General features: G+C 50.0%; 1 pseudogene across 1 annotated transcript in view, besides 4 other annotated features; it reads left to right on the forward strand.

Moving 5' to 3' along the window:
- The window catches only part of SNX29P2 (sorting nexin 29 pseudogene 2), a 62,773-nt pseudogene that overhangs the window by 14,920 nt on the left and 22,266 nt on the right, over positions 1-25,587 (forward strand). Inside the window, exons 3-5 of the transcript NR_002939.3 lie at positions 3,722-3,889; positions 9,141-9,277; positions 11,356-11,418. The product of NR_002939.3 is annotated as a sorting nexin 29 pseudogene 2 (transcript). The remainder of the gene's footprint in view (positions 1-3,721; positions 3,890-9,140; positions 9,278-11,355; positions 11,419-25,587) is intronic.
- Positions 2,390-2,890: an enhancer, noted in NCBI's record as "H3K4me1 hESC enhancer chr16:29330917-29331417 (GRCh37/hg19 assembly coordinates)". NCBI's record gives its function as "activates a minimal SCP1, AML or CMV promoter by ChIP-STARR-seq in naive H9 embryonic stem cells {active_cell/tissue: H9 hESC(naive)}" and the evidence as "EXISTENCE:reporter gene assay evidence [ECO:0000049][PMID:30033119]".
- Positions 11,340-12,201: an enhancer, noted in NCBI's record as "H3K4me1 hESC enhancer chr16:29339867-29340728 (GRCh37/hg19 assembly coordinates)". NCBI's record gives its function as "activates a minimal SCP1, AML or CMV promoter by ChIP-STARR-seq in naive H9 embryonic stem cells {active_cell/tissue: H9 hESC(naive)}" and the evidence as "EXISTENCE:reporter gene assay evidence [ECO:0000049][PMID:30033119]".
- Positions 12,202-13,063: an enhancer, noted in NCBI's record as "H3K4me1 hESC enhancer chr16:29340729-29341590 (GRCh37/hg19 assembly coordinates)". NCBI's record gives its function as "activates a minimal SCP1, AML or CMV promoter by ChIP-STARR-seq in naive H9 embryonic stem cells {active_cell/tissue: H9 hESC(naive)}" and the evidence as "EXISTENCE:reporter gene assay evidence [ECO:0000049][PMID:30033119]".
- Positions 18,467-18,516: an enhancer, noted in NCBI's record as "active region_10656". NCBI's record gives its function as "activates an Ori minimal core promoter by ATAC-STARR-seq in GM12878 lymphoblastoid cells {active_cell/tissue: GM12878}" and the evidence as "EXISTENCE:reporter gene assay evidence [ECO:0000049][PMID:35858748]".

Genomic DNA, 25,587 nt, shown 5'->3' on the forward strand with positions numbered 1-25,587 from the left:
GAGCTGGGAATCGGCTTGTGATTTGAACCACCAGAGTCAGTAACGGGGGTTCTGGAAAGTGGGAAGGCAACTAACGGTGTAATGGAGACTCTTTAGCTCTTTGGGGACTGCAGGACAGCTCGCCAGGAAAATAGAGGCGTGCACGGTGGCAGGGATGCTGCCTGGCTGAGCCTGGAAGGCAAGCCCGTCCTGGCCTTGAGGGGCCTCAGTGGGCATAGTGTAGGGATATGGCTGGGGAAAGCAGGGACTGAGGCCAGACAGGGTGTTCTCCTCCCAGGTGACGCCACGCTGTGGGGATCCCATGAGCCTCAGCAGCCGGATGCCGAGCACTTCTGTTCTCCTTGTGTCCTGGGCACTGCTCAGGGGGGAGACTTCTGCCTCGATTGAAGTCCGACTAGGCCTCCCAGAGCAGGGCCTGCGGGTGCCTTGGGCTGAGGGAGCTCAGGACAGCAGAGGCACGTGTGCGGGGCTGTGCGTGTTCTTCCCGTCTCCCTGAGCACCTCTCATGGGTTCCTAGGATCCAGTGAGGGCCGCTGCTTCTCCACCTGGTGGGCCCAGGAAGCTTGCACTTTAAGGCCGGTGTTCACTCCTAACTAGTAATTGGACTTGGACACATCACTTCTCCTTTTTCTGGCTTTTGCCTCAAAACCAAAGTGATGAGAGTAGTGACATTCCTACTTCATGAGGCTTTTTAAAAAAAGTCCATCAAATAACATGAGATCAAATGCTTAAAGTGGAAAATGGCAGTTAAATTCAAGGTGATCTTTTGATCCCATCATGATAGGATTTTTCCCACTCCCTGTTAAGTGCGGCTGCTCAGTGCTGTCAGAAAAGGTAAAGGAATCCGAGCCCCGAGGGCTGCCCAGAAGTGGGCGCTTGCCCCAGCTGCTGTCCAGTAGCATCTGCGGGCAGCACCTGCACCCATCTGTGCATTTTCAGATCCTCGCCCTCCTCACCCGCCGCGCTCTGCGGGCAGCACTTGGGCGGCTGGTCCATTCTCTGGATCTCCTTGGTGGCCGGCAGGGAGCATTCGCCCAGGCTGGGGCCTGGAGCGCAGACGGAAGGAATTAGATAATTTGATGTCTGAGGACAGTGGAAACTCGGTGGCGGGTAACCAGATGAATATATATTTTTTATTTAATAAGTATGAGTCAGGGTTTGAACTGGCAACTTAATTTTTACAAAGTTGAATTTAAATGTGAATGTTTTCACTCATTTCTCTTACCTATACACCTGGGTGTTTTAGATTTATCTTCTTTCCTGTTACTAACCCGTTTTTAAATTTTGTGTGGACTCATTCATCCTTCAAAGTCTATGGAATTTTTCTCCTGGAGTGTGAAGGTCGGAGGGTCACAGGAGGGCGGTTCTGAGGATGTTTCTTTTTATCGACTCGTGCTCCAAAGACGTTTTCCTGCTGGTGGGATGGCTGTTTCTTTCTTGCCTCCCGGTGGCAGCAGCTGGGCTGCTTTGTATCTAAAGTCAGTAGTTGGGCTCTCATGAAACTATTGAAGTGCAGTTTGAAAGCTGGGTTTTCCGGTAACTATGGTGCAACCTCTGGCAGCAGCTGGGCTCTCCTGTAAGGATTTCCTAGTGATTTTAATGGTTAGGTTCCCCCATGACCACAGCCAGCGGCTGGGTTCCTCTGTGAGTCACTAAAGTTGCTCAGCCTGGGGCTTCCTGAGGCGCCCCAGTCACCCAGCCAAGATCTGAGGGTGACTTGGAGTATTTTAGAGATGACCCGAGAATTGGAAGCCAAAGAGCGGCTGCTTCCTGTATGGCTTCTTTATGCATGAGGATGAAAATGTGCTGCCGAAACGACTTTAGGGTGTTCTTCCCTCTCATCCTACAAATCCCACTGTCCTGGCTGGTTTCTTTTTGTCTGTAGCACAGACAGGTTTGTTGTGATTATACAGAGAGTCAAAACGTGTCTCAAGTATCTACTGATAAGAAAGTCAAGAGGCATGTTTCCAAAACCCGAGGGACTTTTGATACCTAATAGAGTACTTAAAAAAACCCAAACACTTCTTTCTCTGTTTTAATTATTTCCACCATTTTAGTCTCAATGGGAACAGATTTTTAGGGTTTGGGCAGTAGAGTCCAAACTTGAGGCTCTTGGTAGTCAAAACAGGACGCTTTTCAGCTTAATCTTTTTATTACTACAATTTTGGATTCCATCCTGTATTTTCCTGTAAATTAGTGAAGTTGCATGAGCCAGCTAGAGAGGCCACTGCATTGAAGAGCCCTTCCCATCATGCCCAGATTCGTCATCGCTACAGGGATGGGGTCCTGTGGCCTAGTGGGAAGTGGCCAGGCATGCAGTGGGGCGCTGGCTCCATCCTGTCACCTGCTCCGCCGTGGCCTTCGGATCCTCAGTTTTCTCCCTGTTGAATACAGGGCATCTCTGGATGCTGCTCAGGGCGTGCTGAGAGCTCTCCGTAGCGCAGGTGGTAGAGACCTGGGGGTCCCAAGACAGTTCTCTGCGTGTGCACGGTGAGCCCCAGGAAGACAATGCACCTGGCTTTGGCCCCACAGTGAGAGTAGGTTGTGCCCACTCGGCTTGTGGTATAGGGACTCCAGGGATGAGGACACAGGCCCTGTCCGTAAGGAGTTTGTGCTCTAGTTGAGAAAGCACGATGGAGAGGCATTGGGAATGACATAAGCAAGCCCCGGACCTGAGCAGCGATGGGAGGGTGTGTTGCAGTCCGTTGTAATCACTATTTACACAGGAGCAGCCACTGTGCACCAGAATGTTCTGGGTGCCTGACATCCATGGGTGGACACAACAAAGGCCCGTGTTTATGAGGGGGACAGTAACAATACATACGTGAATTCTCCAAACTGTGTTTGCGAGGGGAACAGAATAACAATACATAACGTGAATTCTCCAAACTGTGTTTGTGAGGGGGACAGAGTAACAATACATACTTGAATTCTGCAAACTGTGTTTGCCAGGGGAACAGAATAACAATACACACGTGAATTCTCCAAACTGTGTTTGCCAGGGGAACAGAATAACAATACACACGTGAATTCTCCAAACTGTGTTTGCCAGGGGAACAGTAACAATACACACCTGAATTCTCGAAACTGTGTTTGTAAGGGGGACAGAGTAACAATACACACATGAATTCTCCAAATGCCAGAAGGTGGTCAGTGCTCTGACAAAACAAGTGGGAGGAGGGTGGGAGCCCAGGAGGGCGGGAGGGTCAGGTGGTTATCCAGGGGGATGGTGAAGCCAAGACATGAAGGAAGGGAAGGCGGTGGCCGAGCAGGTCTGAGTAGGCGGAGGACCAGCGAGTTCTGATCCAATTGTTGAGGTCCCTGATCTCACCCTCTGGGCATTCAGGACCTTAGGTGCTGCTGCGAGTTCAGGGCAGAGGGAAGTTGGAGCATGGAAGGTCTGGGAATCTTGTGAGCGCCCCAAGTGTGCACCTGGTATGGGCCGACCAAGTCAGAGGGATCAAGAACTTAAGTAAATGGAAAGAGTGTGTCATGACACCTTAGTGAGAATTTATATCTCGTGGGGAGCCCCGCCTGTGGGCCAGCTAAGCACCTTCTGTGCAGTGGGCCTTTCCAGACCCTTGCAGGAAGATGGGGCCGGCCTGGTGGGCTGGGGTGCCTGGGTGAGGCCTCTTCAGTGGGCCCTGACCCTGCAGCCAGGCAGCTCCTGGTGGCTGTCCCAAACAGGCCTCACCCCTTCTCCTTGGATGTGTCCTTCCAGGTCACCTTTTCTATAAATTTGGCATCACAGAATCTGACTGGTACCGAATCAAGCAGAGCATCGACTCCAAGTGCCGCACGGCGTGGCGGCGCAAGCAGTGGGGCCAGAGCCTGGTGGTCAAGAGCTTCTCGTGGAGAATGCCCAACTCATCCTCCTACTGCCCCTCAGGTAGGCCTCGTGCTGCAGGAGAGGCCGCCCTCCCCTGCTCGGGGCAGCTGGCCTGGTGGCACCCTCAGGGGCAGCCAGAGCGTGGCCGGCGGCTCCACCAATGGCCGGGAGCCGAGGCCAGAGGCTTGTGAGGTGCACACGGAGCAGTGGAGCTGCAGGACCTGTGCCTGGCCCTGTGCGCCCTTCACACAGACAGCCTCGGGCCTGCTCCAGGCTCCTCTGTGAGGGACAGAGGGCCTGTTGGGCCTCCTGGAAGTCTTCTGGATGGGGGCAAGGAGGCCGAGGCCTTTGTGTAGGGCTGCCGGCCATTGTATTCTCACGATTTGCCTGGTGACTCCGGGTGAGGAAGTGGGGTGGATTCTGAATTGTGCTTTATTTTTACTTTGAGTTCATGGCCTTAGTTGGATTTATCCACAAGATAATGGAAACAGTTCTCTTTGAGTTGCCTCTCAGGCATTGCTGGGGAGATTGTTCTCCTTGGAGAATTTTCACTAGGAATGACAATGTGACTTGATACTGCCTTTTACCCAAGACATCTCAAAATATTTTAATACGTATTTGAATGAAAACTATTCTCTTAAAGCTCCCCACAGTAGCTGCATTGGCAGTGACTCTTGGAACTTGAGCTCTGACTGGGGCTGGGGTCAGGATGCGAGGGCAGCTGTGGGCAGGGCCAGCTCTCCTATTCAGTGGAGTCTTTGTCGGCCGGAACCCTTTGTTCTGGAAGTCCTGGGAGTTACAGACCAGATCACCTGGAGTTCTCCCGGGGCCTCGTTCTTTCTGAACCGGACTTCAGGAAGTGGTTTTCCCGGGCTGTTTTGGTAGTTATCAGATACTCGGCCTCAGCTGCTGCCCAGGGGCTTGAGGATGGGAGGTGGCTGCCTGTAGTGGGCCACACAAGTTGTGTCCCTAAAGCAGCACTTTATTGAGTGACCTGTGTTGAAGAAGCTCTTCTATTCTAGGCCTTTCTACTACAATGAGGAATTCTGCCTTGGGACTTGAGAGAGGTAGCAGTCCTAGGGTGTGGGTTAGGGGCATTCACTGAAATACCATGTAGCAGCGTAACCTGTGGCTATTGAAATGTGGCTGTAGGAATATTGCTCATGACTTGACTTCTCTCTTGAATATTCATAGCTGGGCAGCAGAGAGCGATGTGAGGACTATACTTATGGCATGATACCATTTTTATTGCAAATATATAGGTATATGTGGAAGTTGATTAAAAATTTATGTGTGATCATTTTTACAGTGCCTATCTCTAGGTAGTAGGATAATTTTTATTTTTCCCTTTGTCTTTTATTGTAGTTTCTCAGTTATTTCCAATAAGCACTGCATTAGTTTTATAGTTGTAAAAAATGTTGTTTAAAAGTCAGGGAGCCCAGGCGTGGTGGCTCATGCCTGTAATCCCAGCACTTTGGGAGGCTGAGGCAAACTGATCACCTGAGGTCAGCAGTTCGAGATCAGCCTGGACAACATGGTGAAACCCTGTCTCTACTAAAAATACAAAAATTAGCCAGGTGTGGTGGCACATGCCTCTAATCCCAGCTACTCGGGAGGCTGAGGCAGGAGAATGGCGTGAACCTGGGAGGCGGAGCTTACAGTGAGCCGAGATCACGCCACTGCACTCCAGCCTGGGCTACAGAGCAAGACTCTGTCTCAAAAAAAAAAAAAAAAAAAAGTCAAGGAGAGGAGATTTCTGTCAGGCACAATTTCTGTCAGGCACAATTTCTGTCAGGCACAGTAGCAGGAACCAGATTGAATTCTCTTGCCATTGAAATCTGGACAAAAATCTGTGAATCGGCTGTCCTAAGACATTAGACAAGCAACAGCACAGGACCGTGATCCCGAGAGAAGGAACACGAGAGGAGGGGACAGGGAGATGCCAGGCAGAGATAGCTACATCACTGCATGGAGGAGATGGGTTGGAGTTGAGAGAGGCTGAGGCAGCAGAAAGTTGTGGAATCAAGTTCTTAAGAGCAGAGGGTTACACGGGGGCCATCTTGGGTGTTTGGGGGATTCCAAGGCAGGCATGAGCTCAATGGCTCCTAAGCTCACCCCAGGCTGGGTGGTGGTTGGATTCCCACTAGCCAGAGTCCTCAGTGATCAGTCACTGCACTAGCTGGCCATGCCTACTGGCAGGCTAAACTGTCCCTAGAATAAAGGCAGAGCTTAAGAGAGCCTGAGAAAGATCACATTGAATCACAAGTAACAACACTTTTAAAAGAAAGACAACAAAACCTAGACACCCAACAAAGTAAAATTCACAATCTCCAGTATCTAGTCCAGAGTACCAGGAAGCAGGAGATTGTGACCTATGATCAGAAAATCAGCAAATAGGAAGGGACCCTGTCTGGAATTAACTGACCAGGACATTGAAATCTATTAAAATTACATTCAGGAATTTAAAGGAAAAAAGGAACATAGCAAGGAGCGAAATAGAAGACATAAAAAAGAACCATATGGAACTCCTAGACTCGAAGAGCGAGGAGAGTTGTTGCCAGGCTTGCCTTCCATGTGTTTCGGGTACGTGCATTTGGTAAGGTTAGCGGTCTGCTTCATCCAATGGGGAATCAAAACCCAAGTTAAATGACTTGCCAGGACCTTAGTGAGCAAGAAGCTGCTGTTATATAACCTGACGACTGCCAGATATGTTGGCCTGCATCATTAGGATACCAGAATCTTGAAAGGGTAAATTTAGTGAGCTGAAATTTCATAGCTGGAAATGTAGACTAAGAGCATTTGCACAGTAGTAGACGGTGGTGTAACAGCATGTGAAGCTGAGTGTTTTGCTGGCTGCGCTGGTGTGCAGGAGCTTCCTCAGAGCCCTTGTGGTTGGAAGGTGCACTCTGGAGCACACCCATTCTTAGCTTGTCTACCCTGTGGCCCCAGTGGAGCGTTTTGGAGCTGCTGGGAGGAGCTGTCCAGGGACAGACTGTCATGGTGGCAGTGGGCTGGAAACTTGTCTTTGGGGAAACGGTTAGAAATTGAGATTTCACAAGGTTTGATAACGGTTAGATGCCTGGAGAAGCAGTGCATAAGTGAAGAATTAGGCTGGTTTTGTAGGTGCTAAGAGGGTCAGTGGAGGAAAAGCAGCTCCGCGGAGGTGGGCTTCAGCCCAGCTGGGATTTTGTCATTTTCTTCCTGGGGTGCACAAGGCTTGCTCGAGGACCTGTGGTGGTGAGTGCTCTGTAACTGCTCAGGCAGACAGGAAACCGCCATGGAGCACGCAGCACTGCCTGGCGGTGGTTGCTTTGGGACATGACCCATCACTGGAGGTGCTCAGGTGGAGTCAGGGTCTTTGGCTGGAGCCAAGCTCTCCACGTGCAGCATGCAGGTGGGCATGTTGAATCTCCTTTGAATCTCATGAATTTCAGATTCTGATTTAGTGTAGCTAGGCAATTTCTAGCATATTGCAAGTATCAACATTCTGTTATGTGGCTGGGCACAGTGGCTTACACCTATAATCCCAGCATTTTGGGAGGCCAAGGCAGGCGGATCATTTGAGGTCAGGAGTTCAAAACCAGCCTGGCCAACCTGGTGAAATCCCTTCTCTACAAAAAAATACAAAAAAAAGATTAGCCCAGCATGATGGTGGGTGCCTGTTATCCCAGCTACTTGGAAGGCTGAGGCAGGAGAATCGCTTGAACTTGGGAGGCGGAAGTTGCAGTGAGCCAAGGTCACACCACTACACTCCAGCCTGGGTGACAGAGCAAGACTCTGTCTCAAAAAAAAAAAAAAAAACCAACATTTTATTGTTACTTTAAAAAATGTATTCAGTGGAATCTATGTACTATGGCAATTTAATACCTACCATTAGCTATTGGTAAAAAATACATGGAAAGCTTTTCTCTCCCCTTCCCCTCTCTGCCCCTCCCCCTCCCCCTCTCCGCCCCTCCCCCTTCCCTCCCTCCTCCCCTCTCCCCTCCTCCCTTCCTCTCTCTTGCCCTCCCCTCTCTTGCCCCAACCCGTCCCTTCCCCTGCTCGCTCTGTTGCCTGGAGCTAAGTGCCATGGTGCCATCTCAGCTCACTGTAATCACCTACTCCCAGGTTCAAGTGATTCTCCTACTTCAGCCTCCCAAGTAGTTGTGACTACAGATGCATGCCGCCACACCTGGCTAATTTTTGTATTTTTAGTAGAGACAGGGTTCACCATGTTGGTCAGGCTGGTCTCGAACTCCTGACCTGAAGTGATCTTGCCTGCCTTGGCCTCCCAAAATACTGGGATTACAAGCGTGAGCCACCATGCCTGGCCTGCTTCTCTTTAATAATCAGAAATTTTATGTCTTTCATTTTTCTCCTTTCATTCATATCAACATTCTACTTCTCTCACAGAATTTCATCTTTCTGCTTCCCTCCCCAGTCCCCCCGAGATGGAGTCTTGCTCTGTTGCCCAGGCTGGAGTGTAGTGGTGCCATTTTGACTCATTACAACCTCCGCCTCCCAGGTTTAAGTGATTCTCCTGCCTCAGCCTCCTGAGTGCCTGGGATTACAGACCCCCACCACCACGCCTGTCTAATTTTTGTATTTTTAATAGAGATGGGGTTTCACCATGTTGGCCAGGCTGGTCTTGAACTCGTGACCTCAGGTGATCTGGCTGCCTTGGCCTCACAAAGTGCTGGGATTACAGGTGTGAGCCACCGTGCCCAGACTACATTTTTACGCTTAAAAGCTTTTTAAAATTAGTCATTATAATTCTCTGCAACAAAACTACGTGTATACATTGAAAATTAAAGTTTTTCTGCGCTCTTAATATTCTAAGAGTTTAAGAAAATTATGATTGAGACATCATTACAGTGAAAATTAATACACAGTACATCAAAGCAAATGTATCTCATTTTGATTAAACACAGCAAGTAAAATTTGTTGGAAATGTATCTTTAAGTGCGTGGATGAGACTTTTGCTCTATTAGTTTAATTACCCATGGACAAATATTGCCAGCCTGAAACAGCTTTTAATGTCCACTTTAAGAACTTCATTCATTTAAATAAGTTGGGGACTAGAAGGGGTTTTGTCATAGCATCACGCCACTCTCAGGCCCTTCTGCATTCCACGTCGGAAAACTCAGTTCCTAAGACTCACTCATAGTGACCTCTGCAGAAGAGTGGAGATGCAGTGAGTCGAGGAAAAATGAAGCATTTCCTCTTCTCTGCTGTGGGAGTCGAGAGTGAGGGACGGGGGTGCACACATGCTGCACAAGGCAATGCCTAAGAAACTTCTCGTTCACCCCGTTCACACCTGTTTCCTCCACAGAGCCGATGATGAGCACCCCACCTCCTGCCAGAGAGCTCCTGCAGCCACAGCTGCAGCCGCAGGCCCTGCACTACGCGCTGGCCAACGTGCAGCAGGTGCAGATCCACCAGATCGGAGAAGACGGACAGGTGCAAGTAGTACGTACCCTCTCCACCTCGCACCTTGGTAAAGGGGGCTGTGGGGTGGGCCACGGCGGGGCCATGGCGGCTTCCACCAGTTCCGCTGTGTTTCGGGAGCACAGTGATAGCTTGGGAGGAGGCACAAGGTTCCCATTTAAAGTAGAGGTCATCGTGGCCATGAGCTCTTAACATTTCACAGGTGGGGGCGGCTGCTGCAGAGCCTAGGGATTGAAGCACATGGTGGGGTGGGGCATTCAGTCAGCTCACCTCAGTCCTGCCAGCAGGCAGGCGGGCAGTCAGCTCCAAGGGTCAGGCCGTGCAGTGGTCCCTGCCCCAGCTCGTGCTCCTGGGAAGCAACGGAAATATTTCTCAGCTCAGAAGTGCAGGCGTCCTCTTACTGAGGGAAAGAGTAATTTCCTTCTAGGATCAGTGGCAAAAGCTTGAGGTCATTGTTCCCATGCAGCGTTTCCCTTGGAGTTACTCAGCACACCCAGGTTGGGCGGGCACTGTCCCAGCAGCAAGTCAATGTCCTGCCTTGCCCGTGCGGAGTTCTCTGTTGGGGTTTTGTGACCCAAGCTGTGGTCAGTCTGATGCGCCTAGGGGCTCGCTCCCGGGTGAAGTCCCTCTACAAACACCTCCTGGATTCTGTGGCACGAGAGTAGGGGGCGGCTGAGAAGAAGACTTTTCTGGAAGCTTTGCTGAGTGACTAGAAATTTTACATGTACCACTAGACCTAGCCTGTGTTTTTAGTGGCACCAGCCCCCTTGGGCCCTCTGAAGACAGGTCATCGTGTGCCTCCGTGTTACCAGGGCTTTCTCCTGGAAACAAGGTCCTCCACTATTGAGAGTGGGTCGTGGCTCTCATGTCAGTGTGGCTTCAGCGTGCTGTCTGGAAGAGGGAAGGCTTCCAGAAAATTCTGGGGCTTTTAGAGGGGGCATTCCCTTCCTCTTCCAAAGGAGATGAGACAGTTATGAATAGTGAATCTTATTTAATAAGCTTATTAATTTGTTTGACATTCACAATGGCAGTTCCTCTCATCTTGTTAGTAAGAAGTTCTTTGAAAGCGTTCCAGAGTAGATAACTTTGTCATAAGGCTTACATAGAACTTTCTACAGGAGTTTAAGATCCATTTCAACTAAGAGAGAATTTCAAATAAGATAAGGAGTATTCATTTCATTTACAGGTTTATAGGAAATATTTGTCTGCCCGTATGTATAAACAGTGGATTCTTTGATTTTTTTTGAATCACATTTGTTAGTGTTTCCTCAAACTGTTTAAATAGTCATATGAGTGTTTCTTTGATTTGAAAAACGTTGCCTGCCCTGTTGTGAGTGTAGGCACGCAAACAGCTCCCCTGCTTCAGCCACACACTGCTTGTGTAGCCTCCCAGCATCCCCAGAGAGCTGAACGTATCATTTGAAAAGAGGCGTCATTGTGATTTTCTATTTCCCCTCTTTTCTGTGTGTCATGCACATTTTAAAATTTACTTGTTTAGTAACATTTAAAGATGTATATATCTTTCCTGGGACCTATTGCTCCTTTGTGAAGTACTGGAACATGTTCTGTGTTACACAGTACCCCCCCTTACCCATGCTTCCACTTTCCTAGGTTTTAATTACCCACAGTCAACTGTGATCTGAAAATATTAGATGAGAAATTCCAGAAATAAACAATTTGTAAGTTTCAGATTGCATACTCTTCTGGGTAGTACCATGATGAAGTCTGGTCGTCCTGCTGTGTCCAGCCCGGGATGTGAGTCATTCCTTTGTCCAGCATGTCCAAGCTGTGTGGCACGTATGGGCAGGAAAAAGCATAGCATATACGGGGTTCAGCACCATCCACGGTTTCTGACGTCCACATGGTGGGGGGAGGGGGCGCTTCTTGAAACCCTCATGGATGAGGGGGACTACTGTGAACCAAAAGCTTAATTTAAAGAGGTGACCACAGACTATATTGCACTATTCAGGATTTAGTTATCTTTTTGAATTGTAAACAGATAATCAAGAACAAACATTCCGGAAGATGTTTCTTGTTTCCTTTGCTTTTTATTTTCTTCTGATGCTTCTTGGTGTCTTTTCTTACTGCGGATCCCACAGGGACACCTCCACATCGCCAAGGTGCCACAGGGGGAGCAAGTCCAGATCACGCAGGACAGCGAGGTGAGTCATCTCTCGCTGCAGCCCTGTCCCTGCAGGCACTGTGCCCGCATGCTCCCGACCTTCATCAGTGTCACAGTGTGAGGGCAGCAGGGAGCCCCCAGGATGGGGAACGTGGGCGAGGGCTGCAGGACTCCGCTTCCAGGGTGCACATAGTGGGCCTGCAGTCTCTGTGGCCTCACTGCCTCCCCCTCCTGTCCGTTGGTCTCCACAGCTTCTGGTCTGTCTTGGCAAAGATCTCCTGGGTAGATGTTTCTGCTCCTGGCTGGAAGTGCCCTCTGAGTACCCTTCTCTCCCTGTCTGGCCCTGCCCTTCCTGCCAGGGGAGGGCCCCAGTGTGGCCGAGATGGGGTCTGCCCCTGCACAGGTGACCTGACATACCCCCTCACCTGCCATGTGGCCCCAGCTTCCTGGTGGCCTCTACAGGATTAGTGCCGATTTCATAGGATGGTGGGGAATCCCACAAGGTGATGCTGCCAGTCCTGAGAGCTGGTCATAGCCCTGACGCACCTGCCGTGTCTGTGATTGTCTCAGTTTCTGGAGCTCTACCCAGCCACGCACTCAGAAGTGCGGGCTCAGCTGCTGTTGGGGTCTGGAATGTGAAGGCGGGAGTGACAGTCTGAGTTCTTGGAAAGCCGAGGCCGGCCGGTTGCGATGCTCCGTGTTTGCGTACCAGAGCAGGACTGTCTTCCGGGTGGCTGGTGACCGTCCTTCGACTCTGGGCTGTTTCCTGCAGCACAGGCAGCAGCAGGCACAGGGCACTAAGCAGCACACACGTGTTGTACTGAGTGACCGTGGTGCGCTCTGGGGGATGAGGAACATGGCTGTTTCTAGGTGGTGACAATGGCACCAGCTTTGTGTTTGGTGCATAGTAGTGTGTCGCTACGAAGATCTCAGGCTTCCCCACACACACCAGCAGCAGAGACTAGGAAGCCCAGGTGCTGAGGTCAAGGGGACTCATGGACATGTTGGCGTGCGAGGCCTCCCGGGAGCTCATGCTGGGTACAGGTGCTGTGGGGGAGCAGAGGAGAGAGAAGCCCTGCCTTCGGGGACTCACAGTGGGCACAGAGCCTCCTGCCCAAGTGCCCGTGAGCAAGACTGTGGACACATGCACGCCGTGGCACGTGGAGCACCAGGGACTTAGGTGTGTCTGCTGGCAGTGGCTTTAATTTGGACACCAGCAGTTCCCAGTGGGTTATCCTGAGAGGGGAGCACATGCATAAGGGTTCCAGGGGTGGAATGAGGATGAGGTGAAAGGGGAGGAATGAATTCATGTGGGGGCCATGAGCGACTGGGAATGAGTGGGCTCATCCACACAGCGACATGACCAGGTCACTAAGAAACATGTGGTCAGATGGATGGATGGAAGGAAGCACCAGGGCGGGGAGCAGGTAGGGGACGGTCCCAGGAGGCCAGAGTGTCCAGGAAGGGGCAGGGCCTGGTTCTGTGTCTGTGGGTGGGTCAGGGACCATCTCCCTGGAGATGTCGGGAGATGCGCCTGTCAGCTCAGCAAGGTCAGGTGCAGGAGTTGGGGGCCTGAGCGGCTGCGAGGTGCAGGATCCCAGCAGCACCTTCCAGTGCAGGAGCTGCCTTTGAGGGGCAGGGGAAGGTTTGCTTCTCAAGGCACAGACAGGTTGGGGCTGGGAGGCTAAGCTCACTGCCAGAGACCTCAGCCAGAGTTCTTGAATACCTGGAAGCCTATGAAGTTCGTCGGAATGCTTAATTTCCTTAGAGTCATTGAAAATGCAGGAAAATTGAAACAGCAGCAAAAGAAAAAAATCAACACACATTTGCTTTTTATAGTTTATGCTAAAAAATCTTGACTACTGGAATTTCAATTTTTTATTATTAGTTTTATCCTTCAGTTTTCAAAACTGAATCCATCTTGTATAGGTGATTGTCTTTCATTTTCATTAGGAATTGAATGCAGTAAGTTAGAAATTGCTAATAATACTAACGATGGCTTTGTGATAAGTGACAGTATGCAGTCTCCTCACCATAAATTCATACCATGTTCATTTAAAATTATTTTGTTAAAACAGGATATCTGCAAATAAACATTTAGCAGGGTCTAACAGACATAAAACAGTTCCTTTTTACAACAAATGAAAATGAATTTCTAACTGGAGAGCTCTTAGTAGCTCTGTGGTTGAGTGAGTTGGTTCCTTGCGTGCAGCCCGTGACCTGGCGTGGTGATGCCGCACAGCTCAGCAAGGCGTCCCCCTTTGGGGAAGCTGGGTGACATGCACATAGGACCTCTCTCTGCTACTTTCTGTACTTTTTGTGAGTCAGATTCTTTCAAAATAAAAAATGAAGTAAAAATGACATTTTCATTTGGGGTCAGGGTGGGGGAATGGGTACAGTGCTTTTTGAGTTGTTTGTTCACCTTTAAAATAATAAATAGTACCTAGAAATCTAAATATTTTGTTTTGGGGCTTTTGTTGCTACTGGAGGTTGAATTTTTGCAGAACTAGTGTTTTTCTTGTTATTCTCAAGTGGCCTGTGATGTGTCTTGGCGTGTTTGCCGTGTCTGCGGGTGTCTTGGTGTGTTTGCTGTGTCTGCGGGTGTCTTGGTTTGTTTCTACTCATGACCGTTCCTCCTCTTGTTCTTTGTAGGGCAACCTCCAGATCCATCACGTGGGGCAGGATGGTCAGCTGAGTGTCCCAGTCCCCATGCACATGCGGGCGTTGCGCTGCCAAGGGGTGGGGTTCTCAGGGGAGGGGGTGGGACGGTCAGGTGAGTGCCCTGGTCCCCATGTACATGTGGGCATTGTGCTGCTGAGGGGTGGGGCTCTCATGGGAAGGGGGCGGATGGTCAGGTGAGTGCCACAGTCCCCCTCTCACATATAGGCCATTGTGCTGCCAAGGAATGGGGGCTCTCATGGGAGGAAGCGAGGGTGCAAAGGCCTCTCAGTGTGAGCCCCAGAGCAGGACTGGCTTTCCTCACCATGGCAATGCACAGGCCTGGAAGGGGGAGGGCGGGGCTTGGGGGTTACATTTGCTGCTCCGTAGGATTTCAGCAGCTTTTGCATTATGGCGGAAACATGCCCTCCCACCCCCACCACCCCACCCCCTTCAGATGGTTATTTTCTGCACACGCATGTGTATGTTGATGGTGGTCATATTTGCACAGATAACTCTGTTAGAAAAAGGTGGTTTCGCTCCTGTGTATTGCCATCAAACTCACAAACTTGCCTGCTTTCTAATCCTTGACAAAAAGAGTGACCATTGGTTGAACACCCCAGTACGAATGGTCTTTACAAAATGATGTGCTCCGACGGTGCGGGTCCTGGGGAGGGTGTTGCTGTGCAGGACAGAGTCAACTCGCTGGTGGTTTTGAGGCTGTGTGTTCCTAGGTCCTGGTGAAGACCCTTTCTGTTCAGGAGATGGCTGTCACCTCTGGATCATTGAAGAATCTGGGTGATCTTCCCATTTCATAAAACAGAAGCTGGGAAGTTGACAGTGAGAACCATAAACAGAGCTCACTGTGTAGAAAGATAATACTAATTTTTCAAAACCACAGCGCACTGTCCTATGAGAAACCTGCATGCGTTCCCTTTGTCAAGGCCAGGCCCTGCAGATCTCTGACCCGACTGAGCCTGGGGCACCCCCAGAGTGAGGTGCTTTACACAGAGGGGGACAGAAGGGCATGTGCTCCCGTGGGCTTTCTGTTGACCCCTCAGAGGCACCTTGGGAGAAGGGCTGCAGACCCTCCGAAACTGGTTTATGTCAGAGTTTCTTAGTTGGAAAGTTTCATCTTAAAGATCAGCACGAGGTTTTCTCAGGTAGTCCTGCAGCATCGCTCGTCTGTAAGTATGAAATTGCTGCTCTGGAAAAGAGCCAAAGGAATGCGCAGCTTTTAAATCCACAGTTGTGGCCTTGCGCTCACTCCACTGGGGTAATGAGGCTGCGGTGGGCGCAGTGCAGGTCAGTTCTCTGCGCCTTTGTCCCCCGTGGTTCTCACGGTCACGGGGGCAGCAGAGGACAGGGCTCATAGCTGGCGGTCCGTCTTAGTTTTCTGCAACATAGTGGTTTATGGTTCTGCTGGTAGTGGAACTGTATCATAGTTGAAACGCTGCTGGACGTTTAATTCCTAGGAAAAGTAAGGCACGTCACCTTCGATATTCCCTTGTTCCTGTCTCTACCCCTGAACAAAATCCACTTGGAATTTTAAAGATAGAACCAGGCTTTTACACTGTATCACTGCAGTGCTTCTGTTTGTGATTGTAGACAGAATTCTCCCAACTCTACTGTGGGGACAGAGATTCCAGCTTTTCTCAGCAGGCATGGAGGCCCATTGGCTCCAGCACAGATCTGAGTTCAGGAAGGACTCAGGGCTGATGTCGGAGGAGTTGCTGTCTGGATTTCTCTGAACAAGATTCCGTTCTGGTGTCTCTCGTTCCTCCGTCACTGCTGCCGCCCCACGTGCCTTTGCACTGCAAGCAGGGTCGCAACTGCTGCTCATTCCCGCCTCTTCCGTGGCCCCTCCGAGTTCCCACTGTCTCTAAGTGGCCTCACCGCAGAATGAATAAAGCTGCCGTACTACCACTTTTTATGTGAAACAAATAATTTATAAATCACCTGTTTTTTTTTCCCCTTGTGAACTCTCATACGCTCCTGATTCCTATTATCGGTCACATTTCTGGGACCTCAAATCAAAGACGGCTTCAGGAGAGGCCGGTGCTGCACTCAGGGTAACGGGCGGAATCTTGGTACATGGCCCCTGCTTCTCTTGGGAAGGAAACTGCCGTGTGATTTAAAGAAACCACTGTGTTCAACTGAAGCTGCCTTTTCTGGTAAATCTGTGTAGTGAACCCCCTCGTTTTCCATTTGTGGAAATTCTTTTTTTTTTCCATCATTTGGCCAGTTCTCATTCCTGCTGAGCTACACCCTGCTCATGCAGGCTTTGTCCTCCGGGCTGGCCACACGTTTGGGAGACAGAAGGATGTTTCAGAAAGCACAGAGAAGCCCACTCGCCTCGATGTTGTTGACTGGGCTAAGAAGCCCCGAGCCGTGGGGGGGGTCACACAGCCCATTTGCTCTCCTCCCCGTCCCAGTGCCTACAGAAGCCCCGAGCCGTGGGGGGGGGGTCACACGGCTCATTCACTCTCCTCCCCGTCCCCGTGCCTACAGAAGCCCTGAGCCGTGGGGGCGGTCACATGGCCCATTCGCTCTCCTCCCCATCCCCATTGCCTACAGAAGCCCCGAGCAGTGTGGGGGTCACACGGCCCATTCCCTCTCCTCCCCACCCCCATGCCCACAGGAGGATAGTGCATGCAGGTCTAGGGCTCTCTCTTCTCCAGCCAGACTTGATCTCAGAAGCATCCTTCATGTGACACTGCAGATGGCTCAGCTCCCCGTCCTGTCCCAGAGGCCCTTGGCCTGCCCTGGTGTGAGCACTGGCTTGATTGATGGGAGACCCTGCAGCCCACGCTTGTTCCAGGTAGTTGGGGGAAGGCGAGGAACAGCACCCCAACCGGAGTAAGAGAACACAAAGAAATGGACGCGGCTGCTTTAAGTTCCTAGATCACTGAGGATTGGCTTAGTATTCCCTTCTGATTCCCTAGTTCCAACTAGGAGTGGTTATGTGGCAATAGACTCAGAATCTGACAGAGCAGCTAGAAATCCTCTTGGGAGGGTGGCCAGGCCTCCCCTCTTCCGGCCGTCCATTTTCCATCCTGGGGCCGGGGCCTGTGCCCTGCGCCCTGTGCCCCACATCCTGCACACCACCCCCTTTCCTTGTGCTGGGCTCACACTTGTTGCTGTTCTCCTCCTATTCCACTTCTGAGATGATTGTTGCTATTACTTCTTGTAGTTAATTGATTATTTTCAGAATTAGTGGACAGCTTCTCTGAAAATAGCCTCCATTCTTAGTTCCACGGAGGGAGGGATGTACGCTGTGCTTGTGGATTGCTGCTGGGGCGACGGGTTTGAGGCCACGTCTGCGGCCAGCAGCAATGTCAGTTCCAGGAGGGCCTTGGTGGCTGCGGTGCTGGGAAGCGCCATTGTGCTGCGTTGGTGTGACCCTGTGGCACCTGCTGCCAGGGGACCATTCTTTTTGAGTCATGTTTTCTTCAAATTAAATATTGAGAGATTCTAGTGACATCCCACAGTTGCCATTTGCTGTCTGAGTAGAAAATATGAAGAATCGCCTGATTTGAAGCTATGTGGTCAGTTTCATGTCCATAGCAGCCTTGCTTTTCTTCCTTGCTGAGAGATGGACTGCCCCGTCTCACGCTCTTTCTGCTGTTATGTCTCTGTCCGCTCTGATACTGAGGTTCCAGGAGGGCTGCCTTGGCCTCCTTTCCCTGTAGCCCACGACACCCGCATCCTCTGGCTTCTTTGCTGACAGTTGTGGTGTGCGCTTACATCTGGTGCTGGGTTGCAGGCAGGGTGGGACTCACAGCTGTTCGTTGACTCTGGGAGGGCTCCCCTGGCTGAGGCTGTCTGCTGACAGGTGCTCTGCAGGTGAGCATGAGCCTGCACTAAGGAATGCTGATTAGAGTCCATTTCAGGCCCTGTTGGGCACACTGGGAGTGCGCAAGAACCACAGAGCCTGAGAGACACAGTAGGAGGGTGGGAGATGCAGTAGGAGGGTGAGAGACGCAGTAGGAGCATGGGAGACACTGTAGGAGGGTGGGAGACACAGTAGGAGGGTGAGAGACACAGTAGGAGAGGTCGGGAGAGCCACCTGCACCAAGGCCTCAGGACAGCGAATGGCACAGCCATGGGGAGGGTGACTGCCTGTGCAAGGCCGGAGGCCATGGGCACCCAGGTCCAGTGAGGTCGGACGGAGCCCCCGGTGCTCAGCCTCCTGTGACCAGTGTTGGGGGGTAGCAGTAGCGGACGGTGCATCCCAAATGTGGGCAAGAAGTTTGGAAAGATTGGCAGAGCACCAGAGGCTTCATAAAGAGCCATTTGGGAAGACAAGGTTCGGGGGATGGTGGTGGGTGCGCAGGTGTGGGGACGCACTGGCTGCATGGTGCCCGCTTCCTCCTCCCCGAGCCGTGCTCTCCAGCGCTGTGTCTCAGCCTCCCCTCCAGGAGCGCTCACTTCCTCTCAGCTCTGGGCCCCTGTGGCCTCTGCTTTGCCAGCTGCCCAGCCGTGATGACTAGTTTCCACTCCAGTGCTATCTCTGTCTTTATTGTTCTTTTTGACCTCTAAGTGCACATGCTGTCGTGCCTCAGTGTTCCAGCATTGCTGACTGGGAGAGGGAAGAAGAGGTGAGGGAGAGGGAAGAAGAGGTGAAGGGCTTTCTTAGAACACTGACATTGAAATTGCAGCTGAATCTTTAAAAAAAATGTTTTGTGCTAGCTCACATCTGTAATCCCAGTACTTTGGGGAGGCTGAGGTGGGAGGATTGCTTGAGCCCAGGAGTTTGATGCCAGCCTGGGCAACATAGCGAGACCCTGTCTCTACAGAAAAAAAAAAATTAGCCACGTCTGGTGGCATGTGCTTGTAGTCCCAAGCTACTCATGAGGCTGAGGCAGGAGGATTGCTTGAGCCCAGGAGGCCCAGGCTGCGGTGAGCCATGATTGTGCCACTGCATTCCAGCCTGGGCAACAGAGCAAGACCCTGTCTCAAAATAAATGAAGTGTACAATTCAATGGTTTTTCAAAAAATTAAAATACTTAAAAAATTATTTGGAACCACTTTGGCTGGTTTCAAAGGTTGTGTATTATCTTTCCTCCTGAATAACAACTTTACATAAGAGTGGGCATTGAGGTCACTGTGGGAGGTGCCTAAGTTAGAGTCTCAGTCTCGGGCTTTGTAGAGCAGAGCCCCTGTGTGTGTGTGGACGTGTGCTGCCCTCCTCGCCTCCTGCCCTCCACCGTGTCCTCATCATGCACCTAATCTGCTGCCTTCCAGGGAAGCCAAATAGCCACTGCTGTTGGAGTTGAAATTAAAATGCAGTGGCTGGTTCTGGTCATGGCTCCAGGCATGGGTAGCTCCTTCGGGTGAGCTGCGTAGAGCTGAGCCTGGGTCTTTGGCTGTTTAGATGCATTTGTGGCTGTGTTCTGGGTGCTTCTTCGTTGAGAGTGGAGTTGTGGAGAAATGGCTCCTTCATCAGCTGACTACACTGTGCTGATTTCTTTTGTCCCTGCCTCACTGGGGGTGTGAGGCATCCGGGCAGCATTTTCCTTTACTGGACAATCCCCTAGTGTTGGCTTTGTTGCTCAGTGAGTATTTGAAATTAATTATTTGCTGCCCTGGGCATGAAGATCAAATGATATCATAGCAGAAATTTGGAATGATTTAAGTAGAGGTGTTATTGTATTGCCCATATGGTTAACTTAAGGGATTGCAGAATTGGTTTGAGTAGAGGACAGGCCTTGTATGGTAAATTAGACCAGAATCAGGGGCATCTGGAATTCCCTGAAATTCCCTGGAGCAGGGAGAGGCAGTCTGGTGTGCCAGCGATTCACAGAGCGAGAGAGTACATTCAAACAGATGGTGCCAGGAGTGTAAAATAATGTATTGTCTAAGGAATTTCAATTTTCAGTTAGTGGTAAGGATAATAAAATCTTTAATTTGGTGCAGATTTTCAGAAGATTCTGAAAAACAAAAAAAGCCCTTAAAAATTAAGAGTTGTAAGGATTGAAATTTGCAGGGAGGTGGATGACTTTATTTTTGAGTGCATTTTAAATGAAAATTGATGGGTTTTTTATGAGGTCATGGGAACTTTTGCATAAGGTGGATAGACCAGTTGGCCACTTCAGGGGGCTGACAGGGGAACCGCTGGTTGGTCATACCTGCATCTTGGTGCAGCTGCTTTGCTGCCGTGGGTACCCTGAGCCAGTGCTGCATGACCTGGGCAGACTCCCTATAAAGGCGAACTCGCATTCTGCGGCGATGCTGCCTCTGGAATGATGAGTGCATGCGAGCTGCATGGCTGGACTCTACCAGCATCTGCGCAAGCCACAGCAGGAAGCAGCTTTCCATCGCGGTTCTAGAACCCTCCTCTCTCACTCATGCGTGTGCACACACACAGTCGGAACAGGTCCACAGGACAACAGGCTACAGCGAGAAGGCAGCTTTCCATTGTGGTTCCAGAGCCCTCCTCCCTCGCTCACATGTGTACACTTACACGGTCCGAACAGGTCCACAGAATGGTATTACTGTGTGCTGATTGCATTAATATTTTTTATTCTGTTTTCTGTTCTGCTTTTCGTTTCTCTCCCTTTTTGTCTCTTTGAAAACTGGCTATGACACATTGCATTGATTTTGCAACCCACACTTCGAAAAATACTGGAATAGATGATCGCTAATGTCTCTTTCTTAAGAGTTTGTAGTTCTAAAAGTTGTAATTGCGTAGCTGGGACTATAGGTGTGCACCACTGCATCTGTGTAATTAAGTAATTTTTAAAAATTTACAACTATATAGGCTGGGCACGGTGGCTCACGCCTGTAATCCCAGCACTTTGGGAGGCCGAGGTGGGTGGATCACGAGGTCAGGAGATCGAGACCATGCTGGCTAACACAGTGAAACCCCTTCTCTACTAAAAATACAAAAAATTAGCCGGGTGTGGTGGTGGGCACCTGTAGTCCCAGCTACTCGGGAGGCTGAGGCAGGAGAATGGCTTGAACCCAGGAGGCAGAGCTTGCAGTGAGCTGAGATCATGGCACTGCACTCCAGCCTGGATGACAGAGCGAGACTCCGTCTCAAAAAAAAAAAATTTACAACTATATAAAGTTTACACTGCAAATATTAATATTCTTCCTCTCATATTTTGATAAATCAAAAGATAATTGTTCTTGAATTGGGAAGCTTTTTAAAAAATCACATTCAATCTAAGAAAAATGATTATAAATGTGCTAGTTAAAAAAATGTTTAGCGTGCTTCTCAGGGCTTTTCATCTAGATCAGGAAAATTAGGATTATCCATGTCACTTGGGCATTAGAGTGAAGTTTCCCTGCTTTTCATCTAGATCAGGAAAATTAGGATTATCCGTGTCACTTGGGCATTAGAGTGAAGTTTCCCTGCTTTTCATCTAGATCAGGAAAATTAGGATTATCCGTGTCACTTGGGCATTAGAATGAAGTTTTCCTGAGAACTGCAGTCAGGTTTTTGGCATGGCTGACCTTCTGTTGGTCATATGGTGGGCATGGAATGGAAGATGGCTCGATGTTTGCCGCGGCTGTCCATGCCCCTCTACGCCATCCACAAGCCTCTGACCGAGTTGTCCATGCATGCATTTGAGCGTTTCTTGCAGGAGAGGCCGGGGCCAAAGGAACGCTTCAGTTGCAGCTGGGCTGTGCCAAGGGGCCTCAGCAGGAGCAACCCTTGGGGGCCAGAGCCCAGGCTCTTCCAGCAACAGGAAGGACCTTTCTTCCCTCTGCAGCACCTGTCGAACATAACATGCTGGACTCCCTTGTTCATTCCCGGCAGAGAAGCGCTCCCCTCACCCCCCACAGAGCCCTGCTATGCCGGGCACTCAGACCAGCCAGGGGTGGGGGAGCCTGTGAGTAAAGTGGAGAATTGGAGGTGTGGTGCCACCCTGACCACAGCACCTTTCTTCTCCCTGAGGCCACCTCCTCAAATACTCTTCTTGGCCACAGATGAGGGCCCAGCTGTGGTTGGCAGATCTTTTGGGAGATAACTGGATGTGTGGGGTTGGGAGAGTTGCCATGGGTCCCAGTCTCAGGGCGGCCGCTCCCTCAGTGTCTGTCATCTTGGGATGCAGCAGTGTCGCTTCCTCGTGCTTCAGTGCCCTCTTCACTGCAGTGGGATGGCAGCAGCACCTGCTCAGGAAGTTGGTGGGTTTTGCTGGGTGCACACGGCCCACCTGACACTCACCAGCCTCTGGGCTGCCCTTGGCAGGTGCCGTCCACACTCCAGCACTCAGGGAAGGGTGGTGCAAATCCTGAAAAAATGACCACACAGACACTGGCACCCAGGTGGTGAGTAGGCAGGCTGTGGTCTGCAGACAGAAGCTTTACCCTGTATACGTACAAGGAGTAACAGCTGCTCATTTGAGTGAAGTCACTGGACTGCGGCCCTTAGAGCCTCCTGACGCGGAGGTGGGCCTTTCACTTCTGCCTTTTGCGTGTGTGTGTGTGTGTGTGTGTGTGTGTGTGTGTGTGATTTTAGAGATACTGTTTTAAAACTGTGTACTCAAAGCATTAGTTAATTAACTAGGAAGTTTTGTCTTGTGAAAATGATGACCAGGACTGAACCTTTTAAAACAGATCATCTGAACCTCATCGCTGTAAAGCAATCTGGACTACAAAGTTCATTCTTTCCGTGAATTAAATGGTTTGGTAAAGAAATACTGAGCGTAACATGGACGTGCTCTAGTGATCTTAGGGAGCTGTGAGCTCATGCAGTCTTGGGTGGGAGTTGGCATTGTTTATGTTCTTTTTTTAATTTTTTAAAAATGTTTTTAATTTTTATATTTTTGAGATGGAGTCTTGCTCTGTTGCCCAGGCTGGAGTGCAATGGCACCTTCTTGGCTCAATGCAACCTCCGCTTCCTAGGTTCAGGTGATTCTCCTGCCTCAGCCTCCCGAGTAGCTGGGATTACAGGTGCCCACCACCATGCCCGGCTAATTTGTGTATTTTTAGTAGAGACAGGTTTCACCATGTTGGCCAGGCTGGTCTCGAACTCCTGACCTTGTGATCTGCTCACTTCGGCCTTCCAAAGTGCTGGGATTATAGGTGTGAGCCACTGCGCCTGGCCTTGGTACTTGTGATATTTTGATACATGCCTAGAATGTGTAATGACTTTGAACAGATGTTTGCTTTTTTTTTTCTTTCTTTGAGCAGTCTCCCGGGGCTAGGGTAAGTTCAGAGAGGCTCCTAGATCTTTGTTTCTTGTTTATTTCACCAGTTAGTCATTTTCAGAAATGAATCAAAGATCTAGGAGCCTGAGCCTACTCTAGCCCCCAGAGACTGCCCAAAGAAAGAAAAAAAGAAGCAAAGATCTGTTGAAAGTCATTACACATTCTAGGCATGTATCAAAGTACCACAGGTACCCTATAAATATGTACAAATATTATGTATCAATAAAATAATTTTAATAATTTTTTTTAAAAAAAAGATCTGTTGGAGCCGGGCACGGTGACTCACATTTAGAATTGCTTGAACCCGGGAGGCGGAGGTTGCAGTGAGCCGAGATCATGCCACTGCACTCCAGCCTGGGTGACAGAGCGAGACTCCGTCTCACCAAAAAAAAAAAAACGATTCCTGTCCCTGTTGAATTTTCTGCCATGCTTCTGTGCTCCTTCAACAGCCAGGGACGGAGGGATCCAGTCTGAGAAAAGCCAGCATCAGGGACTACTTCAGTCCTCATAGAAATCACTGCCAATGGCTTTGGCCACCTCCTGTGTCCTGGATTATGTCTCTGCAGCTTCCCATCTCCCGGACGCCTCCTTGAGTCCCTGTGTATGAGTGATTTAGTGTTACAGGCTGGGTGAGGAGCTTTGCAGGGATTTAGCTTTTCTCAGGGCCACCTGCCCTCAGGCTTCCTGGGCCCTCATACTTCTTCTTGTTTATATCTTATCTGCCTTTGGGGGAATGACCTTAGAGGAATTGGTGTGAGTAAGCCATGAGGTTCTTGGTCCACCTCCATCCAGCCAAGGGCAGCTGGCAGCTGGGCACTTACATCCAGCAAGGCAGAAGCAACCCTGGCTTTGAAGTCAGACTGCTAGGGTGAGTCTGAATGGCCTCGGGGAAAGTTCCCTCTGAGCCTTCGTTTTTTTCACTTGTGAAGGCGATAGTCTCGCCTAGCTTGAGGGTTTGTCAGGGGGATTCAGTGAGAACCTCATTTGAAGCAGCTGCTTTAGTTCCTAACACCTAATAAATGTTTAACCACTTACCCTCCTCTCCCACCACCCTTTCAACTTTGAACCTCTTCCTCCATGTCATCCCTTCTTAAGGTGCTGACCTTTTGGCCACAAAGAATGGCTCTTTTTGTTCCCATCAGGACTAGAATTCTTATCTTTTTGTTGCTTGGCCCTGGTAATCAAAGAACCACCAACACATTTGCAAGGCATCTCCAGCCTTCTCGTTCTGGCCGCCCCTCTCTGTCTTAGGGAGAGTGCTATACTGGCATGGTGATGAGATGAACGAAAGGGCAGTCTCTGGCTGTTTTCTGCTGATGAGGATGTGCTGAGCAGCCTCCTGCAAATGAGAAGCAGGGAAAAGACCAAACTAGCTTAGCTCATTAGCTGGGCATGGTGGTGCCCACTTGTAATCGTAGCTACTTGGGAGGCTGAGGCAGGAGAATTGTTTGAACCTGGGAGACTGAGGTTGCAGTGTGCTGAGATCATGTCACTGCACTCCAGCCTGGGCGACAGAGCAAGATGCCATCTCAAAAAAAAAAAAAAAAAAAAAGACAAGCTTGCCTGCCTTTGTCTTACAGAACAAAGGACAGGAGATTCCACTTTACCCCCTCATCGTCATACCATATTCAGTTTTCTGTATATCCCACGATGTAGCATGCTTTTTTGAAAGCAGGACACCGTGTTTGTTTACTTTCTCTTGACGCCTAGCATAGTGTCTGCCACTACACAGGTTGTTCAATAAAATTATGTTCACTAAACAAATACATCTTGGTTGGAAGGAAGGGCATTATTCATTGCGTGCAGTACTGTATTTCATGGTTCCCGAGGTACCATATACCAGGATCACTACAGCTTGCTACAGGGAAAGTGATTAATTTTTAAGGAACAAAGCAAAAATTAATGAAAAGCGACCCAGAGCTCTACACAGACTTGGCTTGCTGTCTTTGTAGCCACTGGAAACCCAAGTAGCCAGTACAGAATACAGTATGGAAAAATGAATTATTTTCCATTCCACTTGGGAAAGGAGAAAGAACCACTGCTGTTATTGGCGTTTGATGCATTTGATGGCATGACCTTGGAATTTGATTTTTTTTTTTTTTAGATGGAGCCTCACTCTGTTGCCCAGTCTGGAGTGCAGTGGCATGATCTCAGCTCACTGCGACCTCTGCCTCCCAGGTGCAAGTGATTCTCCAGCCTCAGCCACCTGAGTAGCTGGGACTATAGGTGTGCGCCACCATGCCTGGCTAATTTTTGCATTTTTAGTAGCGATGGAGTTTCACCATGTTGGCCAGGCTGGTCTCGAACTCCTGACTTCAGGTAATCTGCCCATCTCGACTTCCCAAAGTGCTGGGATTACAGGCATGAGCCACCACGCCCGGCTGGAATTT

Source organism: Homo sapiens, chromosome 16, assembly GCF_000001405.40.
Source record: "Homo sapiens chromosome 16, GRCh38.p14 Primary Assembly".
Taxonomy (NCBI): domain Eukaryota; kingdom Metazoa; phylum Chordata; class Mammalia; order Primates; family Hominidae; genus Homo; species Homo sapiens.